At 33.7% G+C, this 18,404-nt stretch overlaps 1 protein-coding gene across 8 annotated transcripts in view; it reads right to left on the bottom strand.

Annotated features, from left to right (window-relative positions):
• The window catches only part of DACH2 (dachshund family transcription factor 2), a 684,152-nt gene that overhangs the window by 114,784 nt on the left and 550,964 nt on the right, over nt 1-18,404 (bottom strand). For all 8 annotated transcript variants that reach the window (XM_011530846.3, NM_053281.3, XM_017029254.2 and 5 more), the window contains one exon: nt 3,099-3,271. In XM_011530846.3, coding sequence (XP_011529148.1) covers nt 3,099-3,271 — 173 coding nt within the window. The remainder of the gene's footprint in view (nt 1-3,098; nt 3,272-18,404) is intronic.

Genomic DNA, 18,404 nt, shown 5'->3' with positions numbered 1-18,404 from the left:
AGGATCATAGTATTCCATTATATATATATATTCCAAATAGTATTCATATATATGTATATATATATATATATTATATATAATAAGGCACATGTCACCGCCACTGCTCCCAGGTTTGCTTTTTAATATAATTTCATCATTTGTTTGTGTTGTCATATTTTCTTAATAGCCATCCAGTTTCAAAATCATGGGAAATTTATCCTACATTTCATGGGTAATTTTCTTCTCAAAGACAATTCTATGTCCAAGTTTACACTCCAGTCAAATATTTTAATAACAGACCTCTCATTAGTTAGGATAGACTAACTCATTATCAAGTTCCTATCTATCTATCTACATATACATACATGTGTATATGAATACTATATATCTATATATGTAAATGGAATACTATTTAGCCATAAGAAAGAATGAAATCTGTCTTTTGCAGCAATATGGATGAAAATGGAGGCCATTATCTTAAGCATAACAAGTCAGGCACAGAAAGACAAATACCATATGTTCTCACTTATAAGTGGGAACTAAATAATGTGTACACAGGAGTGTAAAGTGTGGAATGATAAACAATGGAAAGGTGAGGGGATGGAATAGGGTGCATGATGAGAGATTACTCACTGGGTACAATGTACATTATTTGGATAATGGATACCCAAAAAGCCCTTTTTCCACCACCATGCAATCTATGCATATGACAAAATATATTTCTGATAGATTTGTAGAGAAATAGAAATTTTTATCAGAGTGTTTTAATTAAATATATCTCTCTTAACTTACTTTAGTCAAAATAACCACATGAAAGTAGATCCATTTCTCTTTAGCATAAAATGGTTTCTGTGTATTTGTGTATTTGGCAGGACATAAATAAGCATGTGATCTAATTTCGCCTTTTAAAAAGTTGTATAAAATTGTTTGTGACAATTCCAAGTTTCTTTTTTAAAAGGTTGCATATGAAATAGACTAATAAGCCCTAAACAAAATTTCAGTTATATTGTCATAATGGGTAAAAAATAAAACAATATTTGGATTAAGAAGATAATTATCTTTTCCATTTCCAGGACCACAATTATGAACCACATTTCCATGTGCCTCTTGACTCAAATTATTCACAAAGCTAACTGAAGTCTCAAACATTCAAACAAAATATAGCTAATTAAATATGGTATTTATGAAAACAAACCAATGTACTTTTAAGAGTCATATGCATGCCTCTATTAAGAGTACTCTTCCATCATTCCAAAGCCAGTATAACAATACCATTACTTTGAAGTGCTTTTGTTTGTCTGTTTGTTTTAGAGAAGGAGTCTCACAATGTTGCTCAGGCTGATCTTGAACCCCTGGTTTCAAGTGATCTTCCTCTCCTTAGGCGCCTAAGCAGCTGGGACTACAGGCACATGTCACTGCCACTGCTCCCAGGTTTGCTTTTTAATATAATTTCACAATTTGTTTGTGTTGTCATATTTTCTTAATAGCCATCCAGTTTCAAAATAATGGGAAATTTATCCCACATTTCATGGGTAATTTTCTTCTCAAAGACAACTCTAACTCCAAGTTTACACTCCCATCAAATATTTTAATAACAGAGCTCTCATTAGTTAGGATAGACTAATCCATTATCAACCACAGGCTTTATTTTTACCCTTTAATTTTTTTTATTGATTCAGGGATACAAGTGCAGTTTTGTTGCCAGGGAATTTGTGTAGCGGTGAAGTCTGTAACCAGTCTTTCCAGGAAGCATGCTTCCACTTGGTGTTTTAAATATATAGATGAAGCTTTATAAAAATGATCAATTTTTCTGTTCCTTTCTTACAAAGGTTATGCTTTAAATTTTCTTCAGTGCTTTAGAAGGCTCCAAAATTACAAGCTGATTTTAAAATGAAACAAATATGTCCAAAATGTCACATTTCCTCTGCCTTCAGTTCTTTCACTTCCATGCCTATCTATTACAATCATATCAATATTGCAAGGCTCAGTTGAAATCCATCAACTATAATGCCTTCCCAGATCCCTGCCTCCTCTCTTCTTAAAGGTAGATAAAATCACTCCTTCCTCTAAATTCCTGTAATACTTGGTGGTTCTCCTATGTTATCCATCATAGTCTGTCTTGTTAGTACAAATTAAGTGGGTACTTGTTTGTCTCACATTTATGTTTGGGAGCTCCTGGAAGTCAAGGTGTATATCTTACTTATAAATTTCCCATATTGCTCAATAACCTGGCATGTAATTATTAAGGGTATAATATTTGTTGAGTAAGTGAAGGAATAAAGGAGGAAATCAATGGGTTTCTGACTAAAATCTTGGGATCCTATGTACCCATATATCACCTCCTCACAAGAAGAAAAAGCATTCAAAACCCTAGTTCATATGATAATTGGAAAGAGAGCAGAAAAGCCATATGCCAAACTAAGAGGAAAAAGAAGGGGTAGCTACGAAATATCCTTTGTGTTTCATTATCCAATGCCCATAAACTTGAAAAATAGTATTCTAACATTATAATGTTAATGCAATATATTATCATAAATATTGTTAATGTTTTACAGGTTTTTACATATATTTTACTCATATTATCTCCAGACAGCCCATGAAATAAGCAGCATAGATTATTAACTATGACCTTCATTTTATAGTTGAGGAAACATGTTCAGGAGGGCTGTCATACCCAAGTTCATTCAGCTAAGTTGCAAATCAGAATTGGAACCCAAATCTGTCTGACTATAAGTCCTGTATGTTATATCATACCTCATAACTGTCTCTCAAACTCCAAAAAGATGCACAGTGTTTACTTTGTTTCACCCCAGCTATGGGAATGGTTTTTGCACACTCTTCTACTCTGTCATTAGTCTGCCCATGCCTCCCCCACACTGTGCACATGATTGCAAGACAGGAAATAGAATTAAAAGTGAGATCTGTGGTCATAGAATGAAAACAAACAAACAACAACAAACCTGGCAGGCCTAGTCACAAACTAAACCCATCAATACTGTATGCTAACTAACTGAGTCAATGAGCTGAGTTACTACTGAAGATCCAGTGGGATTGTAAATATTTTATCAAAATTTGCATGAAATTGACACCTTTGTCCTTTTCTAAATCACGATTCTTACCTTTATAACAGAGGTACCAGCTCTGGAGAGTGGACTGTGAATCTGTGCTGCAGCAGCCATGTTGGCAATAGTATTGAGATGGTTCATCTGATTCATTGCCATGGCAACTGATGCAGGAGGTAAGCTGACTGGAAGTAGGGGATGAGGCATCATCATAAATGGCAGATCCAGTCCTAAAAGAGACAGTGCATATTAAACTTGTTACATTATGATTATCTGAAATAGTTTGTTAAAAAGTACCTAAATTCATTCTTAGTTTTCTTATAAAAACAATTTTTATTATATCTTAGTGTCTCCTTGTGCCATTAATAGTACCTGTGTTATTTTATATTGTTTAATCATTTTAAAAATCTTCCTGTATCCACACATTTAATTATAAATATGCTTTGTTTTTGCTTTCACTTCCCAAATATTTATAAGATGCAAAATTTTTACCCATAAAACAAACACAAATCTTTAAGCCAAACATCATTGCATTTCAAAACTAAGAACTTTCTTCTTAATCATTATAACCATTTTGTAACATCATAACAATAATGCATTGATGTGTTGATAGTTGACAGCTTTACAATTTCTTTAAGACACTTAATAGAGGTGCTGATAAGGCAGGATGTAGATTCTCTAAGCTTCAGAACTGTAGAAGAAAACAAGACTTGGAGTATGTTATACCCTTTTAGATATAAATCTCTAAAATGAATGCTTATATTAATAGCTTTAATTTAAAGTCTTTGTCAATAAATAATAACTCCCCTATCAAAATATCAACGTATTTTCTAGTTTAATAAGAAATACTTAATAACAAATATTGTTAGGTCATTTCAGGAATTTCATTTTTTTCTTATGCAAGTTGAAATAATTTTCACACATTTGAAATATCTGAAAGAATATATCTCAATTATTATCCACATTCAACTTCTGGCAGCCACAGGTTTGCCATCATGTAAAAGGTAACATTAAAATCGTTGTCTACTTATCCCTTAATAGGCTGAAATTTGTAGGAGGAAAGGAGTTTGAGCAGAGTCTACTAAAATTTAGTCTAGCTTCATGGATGTGAACGTGACTGTGAGCAAACCGTAGCACTTATTACAAACAATTACCTCTACAGTAATCTTGCCTAATTTTGGACAGAAGCCCAGAAATCAGTAGTCTTTAATAGATATTCTAAAATATCCCTGCTTATAATTTTTCTAAATTATCACAGACTACAGAAATTCTATGGTGGACAGCATTTATGTTGATTCTGCGCACAAGTATTAAGTATTAATAACGTCCTTTTTTACTCTTGGTAATCGCTTCACTTTTCCTTGTTTCCCTTATCACAACAGAAAAAGAACATCAGTGAATCTATAGGAAGTATATTAAAAAGCTCCCTAAATCTCATTCCTCAAAACAAAGTGGCAGTAATACAAACACTCAAAACACATATATTTTTAGGACAAAGATTTTCTCGCATTCTATGGCTTCTTTTCATTTTCTTAATGTGTTTCACAGAGTAGTTTTTAATTTTAATAAAGTCCAATTTTAATGGGAGCTAGAAGGAAGAAGCAGTGTTAATTTATTTGAGGTCCGTCTCCTGATTTCAATTATAATGGTTGATCTAAAACTGTTAACAAGAAAGTACAAAGGCAGCACAATCAATGGATTACATTTCCAGGTAGGTAAGGTCTCATACAACACTCAAGTGATTATCACAATGAAAGGAATTCCTAAATAAAGAAAACATTATCCACCAGTGTTTCTGATAAAGATAGTCACAAAATGCAGTGTTATCAGAATTACATAAGGATAAAACCTAACCTAGAAACTTAAATTCTGCGTGGAACTCAGGAAAGGAAACATTCTCTGTACTCCCTATCTGACTCCATATCCTGGAGTCAGAAAATATTTTAAACTTTTCTCCTATCCGTGTTCACTTATGGCTCACTATCTGTAAATCCTTTTTAGGAACAACTTTCCAAACTAAACTTATGAGCTCTGAAACATTTTTCTTGCAATTATTAATTTATCAATGAGGCCTCAAAACAACTCTTACAACATTGAATTCAAAATGGCCTTTTCCACTCACTTTTGGTTATTTTTACTTTTAATAGTTACAATTTTTATTGTAAATTGACAAATTACAATTGTATATACTTATGGAATACAAAATGATCCCATTATATATTATATATGTGTACACACACATATATACACACATATATATATACACACAACGTGGGATAATTAAATAAAGCTAATTAATATATCCATTACCTCAAACACTTGTCATTCTGGAGAACATTATGCTAAGCAAAATAAGCCAGGCACAGAAAGACAAATGCTGTACAATCTCATTTGTATGTGGAACTCACTTCCTTTAAAACTAGAAGCATATTTTCAGTTAGCCTTCTAAAATTACTTAGGTACATATGCACTTTTATACTGAAATTATCATATAGCTTATGCTATAATGATATTTTATAATATATATTAAACTAATCACTGTTTATCTTTCTCCTGAAACCTTCACATTATGCTCAATATAATAACGACAATCAATGACCTAAGTAGGTTTCTATATAAGGCTATCATTTACCACAAGCCCAAGGTAATTATACACTTCAGTCCTTCTTTGTTTACACTGCTTCAGTCACAAATTGATCAAACTTAGATGAAAAGTAGCCATCAGTGCTCCTATTTACTATTCAAATGCTTAAATAAGCTTTTGTTCAATTTACAGTTCCCTTAACAGTGTAATAATCTTTCCTCATTCTCCAAAGATTTTCAGCATCACCTAGACACCATCTGGCGATAATAAGAAATATGCCTACTTAAAGTCCAATTGACATGCAAACTAAATGCAAACTACAAAAAGAATTTAACAGCCCATTGGCAGTTTTAAAATCTAATTCATCAAACATTTCAAATGACCATGAAAGGCTTAAAACTCATACTTTGAAATCATGACCTGCAATAGCTGTCAATTGACCGTAATGCCCTAGACTTTACCCCAAGCTAGTACTTACATAACAGGCCAGTTTAACAGTGACCACACATGAGTTCTCCATGCAAAGCATACGCAAATACTGAATTATGAAAGTCAAACGTTTTCTGAAACTGAACACATAAAATTAAAAACCATCAGTAGTACACACCACACCCGCAACCTGGCTCACTTAGTCACATGCTAGATATACAGGTAGCCTTTTAATAGCATGGTAATAAAGACAAATCTTTTTTAAAAATCACCAAAATGGGTTATCTCTTTTCCTATTGACTTCGCGGACATTATGCAAGTTACTAAAAGAATAATTCTTTTTTTAATTTAATTTACTTTTTTATTTTTTATTTATTTATTTTTTTAATGAGACGGAGTCTCACTCTGTCATCCAGGCTGAAGTGCAGTGGAGAGATCTCGGCTCACGCAACCTCCGCCTCCCGGGCTCAAGCGATTCTCCTGCCTCACCCTCCCGAGTAGCTGGCATTACAGGCATGTGCCACCATGCCCAGCTAATTTTTTTTATTTTTAGTACAGATGGAGTTTCACCATGTTGGCCAAGCTGGTCTCGAACTCCTGACCTCAAGTGATCTGCCTGCCTCGGTCTCCCAAAGTCCTGGGATTACAGGCGTGAGCCACAGAGCTGGGCCTGTAAGAATAATTTCTAATGCATCTTGGTATTTCAGCAACTCCTATAATTTTTATGTAAGTGCATAGCACCACCTCCTTCTAGCCATGAAAGGTACAAACTTTAGTAATCCTCTATCTAAATCCCACATTGATTTGATTTCTAAGTCACGTTGACTTCTGTAATATTTTGTCATTTCTACAGTGACTACCAGGCATTAATCCCTTGATACAAGTACCCTATCTTCCCAATCTGTCTTACTGTGGCTTTTCATTTGCTTTTCCACTCCCTTTTTAAGACTTCCAGTGACTACTTACTGCTACCAGAATAAAATACAAGCATTTTTATTTCATCCAAAATTACCTTTCTGGTTGTAATGTTTCATTATATTCCTCTCTGTATGCTGTACTCTAGCCCCACTGGACTATTTACATCTACAGTTTGAATTCACGTTAGCCTTCACTCATGTTAATGCTTCTCTCTGGAATCTGCCTTCCTAACCCAATTGATTTGCCTATATAAATACCCCTTCCTTTAAAAAAATAAATAGACTAGTTTTAGAGCAGTCTTAGATTAATAAAACACATTAGCAGAAGTTACAGAGAATTTCCTTATATCTCCACTCTGCCATCACACAGTTGGCCCTCATATTACTATCTTGTAATAATCTGTTATATATCTACATTTGAAAAATCAATATTGATGTATTAACCACAGTCCACAGTTTACAGCAGAGGTCACTTGTTTTATCCCTCTCCCCATCCTCTGGCAACCACTGGTCTTTTTAGGCTGTATAGATTTGCCTTTACCTGAATGCTACCTAGTTAGAATCACACACTATTTAGCCTTTTCAGACTGATTTGTTTCACTTAGCAATTTCCGCTTAAGGTTCACCCAAGTCTTTTCAAGGTTTGATAGCTCATTTGTATTTATTGCTAAATATGTTTCCATAGTACATATATACCACAGTTGTTTTATGCATTCATCTATTAAAGGATATCTTGGTTGTTTCTAATTTTTAGTAATTATGAACAAAGTTACTATAAACTTTGGTGTATAGGTTTTTGTGTGAACTTAAGTTCTCCATTGATTTGTATAAATACAGGACTATGTTTACTTTAGTTAAAAAAATGCCCAAAATGTCTTCCAAAGTCACTATAGTATTTTGCATTTCCATTAAAACCAAACTGAAAGTTCCTGTTGTTCCAAATCTTTGTGAACAATTGAAGTTGACAATTTTGGATTTTAGTTATTTCAACAGGTGTGTATGGGTATCTCCTAGTTGTTTTAATTTGCAATTCCCTAGTGACATATTATATTCAACATGTTTTCATATGCTTATTATCCAACTATGCCTTAATTAATGAGATGTCTGTTTACGACTTTTGTCCACTTTTTAATTTGGTTGCTTATTTCTTATTGTTGAGATTAAAAGTTCTTTGTATATCTATTGGTCCTTTATCATATATGAGTTGTGCAAAGACTTTTTCCTACTCTGTTGTTTGTTTTTTCATTCTCTTAACAGTGTGTGTCATGAACGGTTTTTAAGTTTAATGAAATCCAACTTATTAGTTTATTTTAAGGTTTATGCTTTTGATATTGTATCTAAAACCACATTGTCAAACCCAAGATCACCTAGCTTTTCTCTGATGTTATCTTCTAATAGATTCAGAGTTTTGCAATTTACATTTAGGACTATGATCCTTTTGAGTTAATTTTTGTGAAGGGCAGATGGTCTGTGTCTAGGTTCATTCTTTGCATGTGATATCCCAATTGTTCCACTGTAATTTGTAGAAAAATGCTATGATCTTTCTATTGAATTGTCTTTGCTCTTCCATCAAATACCAATTGACTACATTTGTGTGGATCTATTTCTAGGCTCTCTATTCTGTTCTATTAATACTAATCTACTTGTCAGTTCTTTTGCCAAAATCACACTACCATGATTACTATAACTTTACAGTAAATAATGAAGTATGGTAGTGTCAGTCCACTACATTTTTTCTTGTTCAATACTTTGCTGGCTATTGTGGGTCTTTTACTTTCCATATAAATGTTGGAATCACTATGTGAGTATCCACAAAACAACTTCCTTGGATTTTGATGGGGAATATATTGAATCTATAGATCAAGTGGGAAGAATTGCTGTTCTAATCATATTGAGTCTTCCTATCCATGAACGTAAGATATCTCTCCATTTATTTATATATTCCTGGATTTTTTCATCAGAGTTCTGCAGTAGTCCTTCTAATCATCTTATATATATTTTGCTATGTTTACTCCTGAGTATTTCAATTATTGTTGCTAATTTAAACAATTTTGTGTTTTTATTTGTACAAATTTAAGAGGTAGAAGTGCAGTTTTGTTACATGGATATATTGTGTAGTGGTGAAATCTAGGTTTTTAGTGTAATCATCACCCAAACAATGTGCTCTGTACCCATTAAGTACTTCCTCCTCCCCCACTCCCTTCCCACCCTCCCACCCTTCCAAATCTCCAATGTCTATTATTCTACACTATGTCCATGTGTACATATGATTTAGTTCCCACTTATAAGTTTTTGACTTTCTGTTTCAGAGTTGTTTCACTTAAGATGAATTTTTAATTTCAAATTGCAACTGTTCATTGTTGGTATACAAGAAAGCAGTTGATTTTGTACATTAATTTTGTATCCTGCAACCTTACTATAATCTCTTATTAGTTCTATGAGAATTTTTTGTAAAATCTTTTGAAATTTTACAAAGATAATCAGTCATCTTTGAACCAATACAGTTTTTTCTTCCCTAATTGGTATAAATTTTATTTCATTTTTCTTGTCATTTTTTACCAACTAAGGCCTCCAGTATAACGATGAATAGAAGTGATAAGAGGTAACGTCCTTCCCTTGTTTTCGATCTTAGGGGAAAAGCATCTAGTTTTTCACCATTGAGTAAGATGTCAGCAGTAGGTTTTTATAGATGTTCTTTAACAAGTTGAGGCAGTCCCCCTCTTTTCCTATTTTTTTCTAAGAGTTTTTATTATGAATGGGTATTGTATTTTCTCAAAAACTTTTTCTGCATCTACTTTTAGTATCATATTATTTTTATTCTCTAGCCTACTGATGTAATAGATTACATCAATTGATTTTCCAATGTTGAGCTACCGTTGCATACTTGGAATAAATTCCACTTGGTCATGGTGTGTAATTTTTTTTTTTTTTTTTTAGATGGAGTCTTACTCTGTCACCAGGCTGGAATACAGTGGTGTGATCTCGGCTCACTGCAACCTCCACCTCCCTGGTTCAAGCGATTCTCCTGCTTCAGCCTCCCAAGTAGCTGAGACTACAGGCGCACGCCACCACACACAGCTAATTTTTGTACTTTTAGTAGAGACGGGGTTTCAGCATGTTGGCCAGGATGGTCTCGATCTCTTCACCTCGTGATCCACCGGCCTCAGCCTCTCAAAATGCTGGGATTACAGGCGTGGGCCACCGCGCCTGGGCGGTGTGTAATTTTTCCTAAACATTGTTAACTTTAATGTACTATTCTGTTTTCAGGATTTTTGCATTATGTTCATCAGAGATACTGATCTGTAGTTTCCCTTTCCTATGTTATCTTTCTCTGGTATTTTGGTATTTAGGTAATTCTGATCTCATAGAATGAGTTAGAAAGTATTCCCTCTGCTTCTATCTTCTGGAAGAGATTGCAGAGAATTGGTATATTTTCTTCTTTAAATGTTTGGTAGACTTTACCTGTGAACCCATTTGAACATGGTGCTTTCTGTTGTGGAAGGGTTTTAATTATAGATTTTATTTCTGTAATATGTATAGGCCTTTTCAGATTATCTGTTTCTTCTTGTGTGAGTATTGGTAGATTGTATCTTTCAAAAAATTGAGTAATTTCATCCAAGTTATCAAATTTGTGGGTATAGAGTTGTTGAGTATTGCTATATTATCATTTTAATGTCATAGGATAAATAGTGATGGCTTCTATTTTCTGATGATAGTAATTTGCATCTTCTCTCTTTTTCTTAGTTAGCCTGCCTAGGGGTTTATGAATTTCATTTGTCTTGTCAATGAACCAGCTTTTGGTTTCATTGATTTTCTCTGTTGATTTTCTGTTTCCAATTTCATTCATTTCTATACTAATAATTATTATATATTTTCTTCTGCTTTAGATTTAATTTTTTATCTTTTTATTTTCCTAAGGTGGAAGCTTTGGTTACTGATTTTATCTCTTTATCCTTTTTAATATATTAATTAATTCAATGCTATATATTTCCCTCTAAGCACTGCTTTTGTTACATCCTATGAAATTTGATAAATTATATTTTTATTGTCATTTACTTTAAAATACTTTTGAATTTTTCTTGGGGGTTCTTTTTTGACTTGTGTGGTATTTATAAGTGTACTGTTTAATCTCCAAGTATTTTTTGACTTTACAGCTGTCTTTCTGTTATTGGCTTCTCGTTTAATTCCATTATGACTGAGAGCATACTTTGTCTGATTTCTATTCTTTTAAATGTGTTAAAGTGTATTTTATGGCCCAGAATGTGTCCTATCTTGGTGAATGTTCCACATGAATTTAAGAAGAATTTAAAATTTTAATTAAAATTTTTAATATTTTAAAAATTAAACTATTAAAACTCTTAATGTTTTTTAGTGTTTGCCTTACAGCTTTCAATATATATTTACAATTAGTCTTATTCCATTTACAAATACCACTATACTACTTTAAGGGTACTAAAAATACCTTATAACAGAGTATTCTCAATTCTCAATTCCTCCTTTCAGTCCTTTATAACATTGCTCTCATTTATTTCACTTATCCACAAGGTATAATCATCCAATACATTCTTTTTAAAATTACTTTTTCTTGTTATTTTTCGTATTTTAATAGCTTCGAGAGTACAAGTAACTTTTGGTTACATGGATGAATTGTATAGTGTGAAATCTCAGATTTTAGTGCACCTGTCACCTGAGAAGTGTACACTGTACCCATAATGTAGTTTTTTTGTCCCTCACCCACCCCGCCACACTCCTCCCTTCTGATTCTACAATGTCCATTATACCACTCTGTATTTCTTTTCATACACATAGCTTAAATCCCACTTTTAAGTGAGAATATACAATACTTGGTTTTCCATTCCTGAGTTACTTCACTTAGAATGATGGCCTTCAGCTCCATCCAAGTGACTGCAAAAGATATTAATTTATTCTTTTTGTGGCTGAGTAGTATTCCATGGTGTATACATATAACACGTTATCTTTATCTACTCATCAGTTGATGAACACTTAGGTCGATTCCATATGTTTGCAATTGTGAATTGTGCTGTGGTAAGCATACAAGCGCAGGTGTCTTTCTGATATAATGACTTCTTTTCCTTTGGATAGATACACAGTAGAGGGATTGCTGGATTGAATGGTAGATCTACTTTTAGTTCTTTGAGAAATCTCCATATTGTTTTCCATAGAGGCTGTACTAAATTACATTCCCATCAGCAGTGTATAAGCATTCCTCTTTCATTACACCCAGGCCAGCATCTATATTTTTTAAAAATTTTAATAATATCCATTCTGGCTGGGGTAAGGTACCATCTCGTTGTGGTTTTAATTTGCATTTCCCTATTGATTAGTGATGTTGAGCATTTTCTCATATGCTCTTGGTCATTTGTATATCTTTTTTCTTATTTCTTGTTTCCATGAGTTTTTGGACAACAGGTGGCATTTGGTTACATGATTAAGTTCTTTTTTGGTAATTTCTGAGATTTTGTTGCACCCATCATCCAAGAAGTATGCACTGAACCCATTTTATAGTCTTTTATCCCTCTCCCACCTCCCAAATTTTCCGGAGTCCCCAAAGTCCACTGTATCATTCTTATGCCTTTGCATCCTCATAGCTTACCTCTCGCTTATGAGTGGGAACACACTATGTTTGGTTTTCCATTCCTGAGTTACTTCACTTAGAAGAATAATCTCCAGTTCCATCTAGGCTGCTGTGGATGCAATTAATTTGTTCCTTTATATGGCTGAGTAGTATTCCATTATATATATCTCACATATATATGTGAGATATATATATATATATGTGAGATATATATATATATATAACAATTTCTGTATCCACTTGTTGATTGATGAGTATTTGGGCTGGTTCCATATTTTTGCAATTGTGAATTGTGCTGCTATAAATGTGCATTTATCTTTTTTGTATAATGACTTCTTTTCCTCTGGGTACATACCCAGTAGTGGGATTGCTAGATCAAATGGTGGTTCTACTTTTAGTTCTTTAAGGAATCTCCACATTGTTTTCCATACTGGTTGCACTAGTTTACATTCCCACCAGCAGTGTAGAAGTGTTCCCTTTTCACTGCATCCACACCAATATCTATTATGTTTTGATTTATTGACTATGGCCATTCTTGCAGGAGTAAGGTGGTATTGCACTGTGATTTTGATTTGCATTTCCTGTATATCTTCTTTTGATAAGTGTCTACTAATGTCACTTGCCCACATTTTTGATGGTATTGTTTTTGCCTTGCTGATTTGTTTGAGTTCTTTGTAGAATCTGGATATTAGTCCTTTGTTAGATGCAGAGTTTGCAAACATTTTCTGCCATTCTGTGAGTTGGCTGTTTACTCTGAAGATTATTACTTTTGCTGTGCAGAAGGTTTTTTTTGGTTTAATTAGGCCCCATTTATTTATTTATTTTTATTACATTTGCTTTTTCGGTCTTAATCACAAGCTCTTTGTTTAGGTCAATGTTTATAAGAGATTTTTCTATGTTTTCTTCTAGAATTTTTATTAATCGAGGTCTTAGATTTAAGTCTTTAATCCATCTCAAGTTTATTTTTGTATATGGTGAAAGACAAGGATCTAGTTTCATTCTTCTACACATGGTTATCCAATTTTCCAAGCACCATTTGTTGAATAGGGTTCCCTTTCCCCCAATTTATGCTTTTGGATGCTTTGTCAAAAATTAGCTTTATTTCTGGGTTCTCTATTCTGTTTCATTGGTCTATATGTCTATATTCATATAAGTACCATGCTGTTTTGGTTTTGGTTACTATATCCTTGTAGCATAATTAGAAATCCAGCAATGTGATGGCTCTCCAGCTTTGTTCATTTTGTTTAGGAATGCTTTGGCTATTCAGGCCAATTTTTTTCTTCCATATGAATTTTATGATAGTTTTTTTGTTAATAATGGCATTGGTAGTTTGATAGAAATTGTAATAAGTCTGTAGATGGCTTTGGGCGGTATGGCCATTTTGACAATATTGATTCTTCCAATCCATGAGCATGGAATGTTTTTCCATTTGTTTGTGTCATCTATTATTTCTTTCAGGAGTGTTTTGTAGTTCTCCTTGTAGAGATCTTTCGACTCATTGGTTAGATGTATTCCTAGGTAGAGATCTTTCGACTCATTGTTTAGATGTATTCCTAGATATTTTACATTTTTATGACTATCCTAAATGGGATTGCATTCTTGATTTGGCTCTCAGCTTGAATCTTATGGGTGTATAGAAATGCTACAATTTTTTTGTATGTTGATTTTGTATCCTGAAACATTACTGAAGTCATTTAACATGTCTTGAAATCCTTTGATAGAGTCTATAGGGTTTTCTACGTATACAATCATATTGTTAGTGAAGAGAGATATTTTAACGTCCTCTTTTCCTATTTGTATGTCTTTTCTTTCTTTCTCTTGCCTGATTGTTCTGGCTAGGACTTCCAATACTATGTTGTATAGGAGTGGTAAAAATGGGCAACCTTCTCTCGTTCCAGTTCTTATGGGGAAAATGCCACCAGTGTATGACCTTCCAGTATGATGCTGGCTGTTGGTTTGTCATATATGGCTTTTATAATTTTAAATTATGTTTCTTCAATGTCTAATTTGTTGAGGGTTTTTATAATAAAGGAATGCTTGATTTCATTGAATTTTTTTCTGCATTTATTGAGATGATCATATGCTTTAGGTTTTAAATGATGTTTAGGTGGTGAATCACGTTTCTGGACTTGAGTACATTGACCCATCACTGTATCACTGGGATGAAACCCACTTGATCATGGTGTATTATCTTTTTGATGTGTTGTTGGATTTGGTTTTCTTGTAATTTATTGAGGATTTTTTCATTTAGGTTCATCAGGGATATTGGTCTGTAGTTATCTTTTTTTGGTTATGTGCCTTTCTTGCTTGGGTAACAAGGTGATACTGGCTTCATAGAATGAGTTGGAGGGGATTCATTCTCAATATTTTGGAAAAGTTTCAGTAGGATTGGTACCACTTCTTTGAAGGTCCAGTGAATTTGGCTTTCAATCCATCTAGCCCTGGGCTTTTGTTTGACTGGCAATTTTTAAATTAGTGATTCAATCTCATTGCCTGTTATTGGTCTGTTTAGGATTTCTAGTTCTTCCTGATTCAAGCTAGGAGGGTTGTATGTTTCCAGGAATTCATTCATTTCCTCTAGGTTTTCTAGTTTGTGTGCATAGAGGTGGTCATAGTAGTCTCAAATAATCTTTTGAATTTCTGTGGTGTTGGTTGTAATAGCTCCATTTTTATTTCTAATTGAGCTTATTTGAATCATCTCTCTTCTTTTCTTGATTAATCTACCTAATGTTCTATAGATTTTGTTTATCTTTTCACAGAACCAACTTTTTCTTTAACTGATCTTTTTCATAGATTTTGTTTCAATTTTATTTAGTTCTGCTCTAATCCTTGTTATTTCTTTTCCCCTGCTAGCTTTGGGCTTGGTTTGGGCTAGTTGCTCTAGTTCCTTGAGGTGTGATGTTAGGTTGTTAATTTGTGACCTTTCAGACTTTTCAATGTAGGCATCTAGCACCATAAACCTTCCTCTTGACACTATTTTTCTTTCTATATCCCAGCTGTTTTAATAACTTGTGTCACCATTATCATTCATTTTGAATATTTTTAAAATTTCCATCTTGATTTTATTGTCAAACCAAAAATCTTTCAAGAGCAGATTGTTTAATTTCCATGTTCTTCTATAGCGTTGAGGGTTCCTTTGGCAGTTGATTTCTAGTTTTATTCCACTGTGGCCTGATAAGATATTTCATATAATTTTGATTTTTAAAAAACTTATTGAGACTTTTTTAACTTTTATTTTAGGTTCAGGTGTATATGTGTAGATTTGTTATATAGGTAAACTGTGTGTCATGTGGGTTTGGTGTATAGACTATTTCCTCATACAAGTAATAAGCATAGTACCCAATAGGTATTTTTTCTGATCATCTCCCTCCTTGTACCCTCCACCCTCCAGTAGGCCCAAGTGTCTGTTGTTTTCCTCTTTGTATCCATGTGTGTTCATGGTTTAGCTCCCACTTTTGAGTGAGAATAAGTTGTATTTGGTTTTCTGTTCGTGCATTAGTTTCTTAGGGTAATGGCCTCCAGCTCCATCCATGCTGTTGCAGAGAACAGGATCTAATTCTGTTTTATGGCTGTGTAGTATTCCATGGTGTATATGTACAACACTTCCTTTATCTAGTCTACTGTTGACGGGCATTTGGGTTAATTTCATGATGTAGAATTATGTCATCTGCAATTAGGGATAGTTTGACATCCTCTCTTACTTTTTGGATGCCTTTGATTTCTTCCCCCTGCCTGATTGCTCTGGCCAGGACTTCCAGTACTATGTTGAATAAGAGTGGTGAGATAAGGCATCCTTGCCTTGTGCTGGTTTTCAAAGGGAATGTTTCCAGCTTTTGCCAGTTCAGTGTGATGTTGGCTGTGGGTTTGTCAGAGATGGCTCTTATTATTTTGCGGTAGCTCCTTCAATGCCTAGTTTACTGAGGGTTTTTAACATGAAGGGATCTTCAATTTTACCAAAAGCCTTTTGTGCATCTATTGAGATAACCATGTGGTTTTTGTTTTTACTTCTCTTTATATGATGAATCACATGTATTTATTTGCATATATTGAAACAGTCTTGGATGCCAGGGATAAAGCATACTTGATCATGGTGGATTAGCTTTCTACGTGTTGCTCAATTTGGTTTGCTAGTATTTTCTTGAAGATTTTTCCAACTGTGTTCATCAAGGATATTGTCCTGAACTTTTCTTTTTACCTTTTACTGGTTTTGGTGTGCATCTGCAAGGATTTGGTATCAGGATGATCCTGACCTCACAGAACAAGTTAGAAAGGTCCCTCCTCCTCAATTTTTTGGAACATTTTCTGTATAAATGGTACCAGCCCTTCTTTGTGCATCTAATATAATTCAGCTGTGAATCCATTTAGTCCCTGGCTTTTCTTGTTTGGTAGACTTTTTATTACTGCTTCAATTTTGGAACTCATTATTGGTCTGTTCAGATATCCCATTTCTTTTTTGTTCAGTCTTGGGTGGTTGTATATTTTCAGGAATATATCAATTTCTTCTAAATTTTCCAGTTTGTGTGCACAGAGGTATTTATAGTAAGTCTCTGAGGATTTTTTTTGTATTTCTGTGGGTTAGTGGTAATGTCCCCTTTGTCATTTGTAATTGTGTTTATTTGGATTTTCTCTCTTTTGTATCTTTGTTAGTCTAGTTAGTGGTTTATGTTATCTTATTATTTTTTTCAAAGAACAAAATCATGGATTCCTTTTTTTTTTTAACTGGGGTTAGATAAAAAAGAGCATTACATAATAATAAAGGGTTTAATTCACCAAGAAGACCTAACTATCCTAAATAAATATGCACCCAACAGAGGAGCACCCAGATTCATAAAGCAAGTTCTTAGAGAACTATGATGAAACTTGGATTTATACACAATAATAGTGAGAGACTTCAACATTATACTGACAGTATTGGACAAATCATCAAAACATAAAATTAACAAAGATATTCAAGACCTGAACTCACACTTGACCAAATGGGCCTAATACACATTTACAGAACTCTCCAACCAAAGACAACAGAATACACATTCTTCCCGTCTGCACATGCACATGCTTTAAAATTGACCACCTAATCAAATATAAAAAAATCTCAGAAAATTGAGAAAAAAAAGAAATCATACTAAAATTGACCACATAATCAAACATAAAACAATCTTCAGCAAATTGAAAAAAGTGAAATTATACCAGCCACACTTGGACAGCACGATAGTAAAAACAGAAATCAATACTAAAAAATTCAATCATATAATTACATGGAAATTAAACAACCTGCTCCCAAATGACTTTTGGGTAAATAATAAAATTAAGGCAGAAATCAAGAAATTATTTGAGACTAATGAGACCAAAGATAGTACATATGAAAATCTTTGGGACACAGCTAAGTCAGTGTTAGTATTGAAGTTTATAGCATTATATGCCTACATAAAATAGTTTGGAAGATCTCAAATTAACAACCTAATCTCACAACTAGAGAAACTGGAGAAGCATGAGCAAACCAACCCCAAACATGTCAGAAGACAAAAATAATCAAAATCTGAGCTGAACTGAAATAAAATAAATTGTACATGTTTTTTGGCCTATCATATGGGCTGATATGGTTTGGCTCTGTTTCCCCATCCAAATCGCATATTGAATTGTATTCCCATAATTCCCATATGTTTTGGGAGGGACCCAGTGGGAGATAATTGAATCATGGGAGTGGTTTCTCCCATACTGTTCTCATGGTGGCGAATAAGTCTCACGAGATCTGATGGTTTTATAAGGATAAGCCCCTTCACTTGGTTCTCATTCTCTCTCTTGCCACCGCCATGTAAGAAGAGCCTTTCGCCTTCCAC

The sequence above is a fragment of the Homo sapiens genome, chromosome X (genome assembly GCF_000001405.40).
Source record: "Homo sapiens chromosome X, GRCh38.p14 Primary Assembly".
Lineage (NCBI taxonomy): Eukaryota > Metazoa > Chordata > Mammalia > Primates > Hominidae > Homo > Homo sapiens.
Note: the sequence above shows the minus strand (reverse complement) of the source record. Positions and strands in the feature narration are given on the sequence as shown.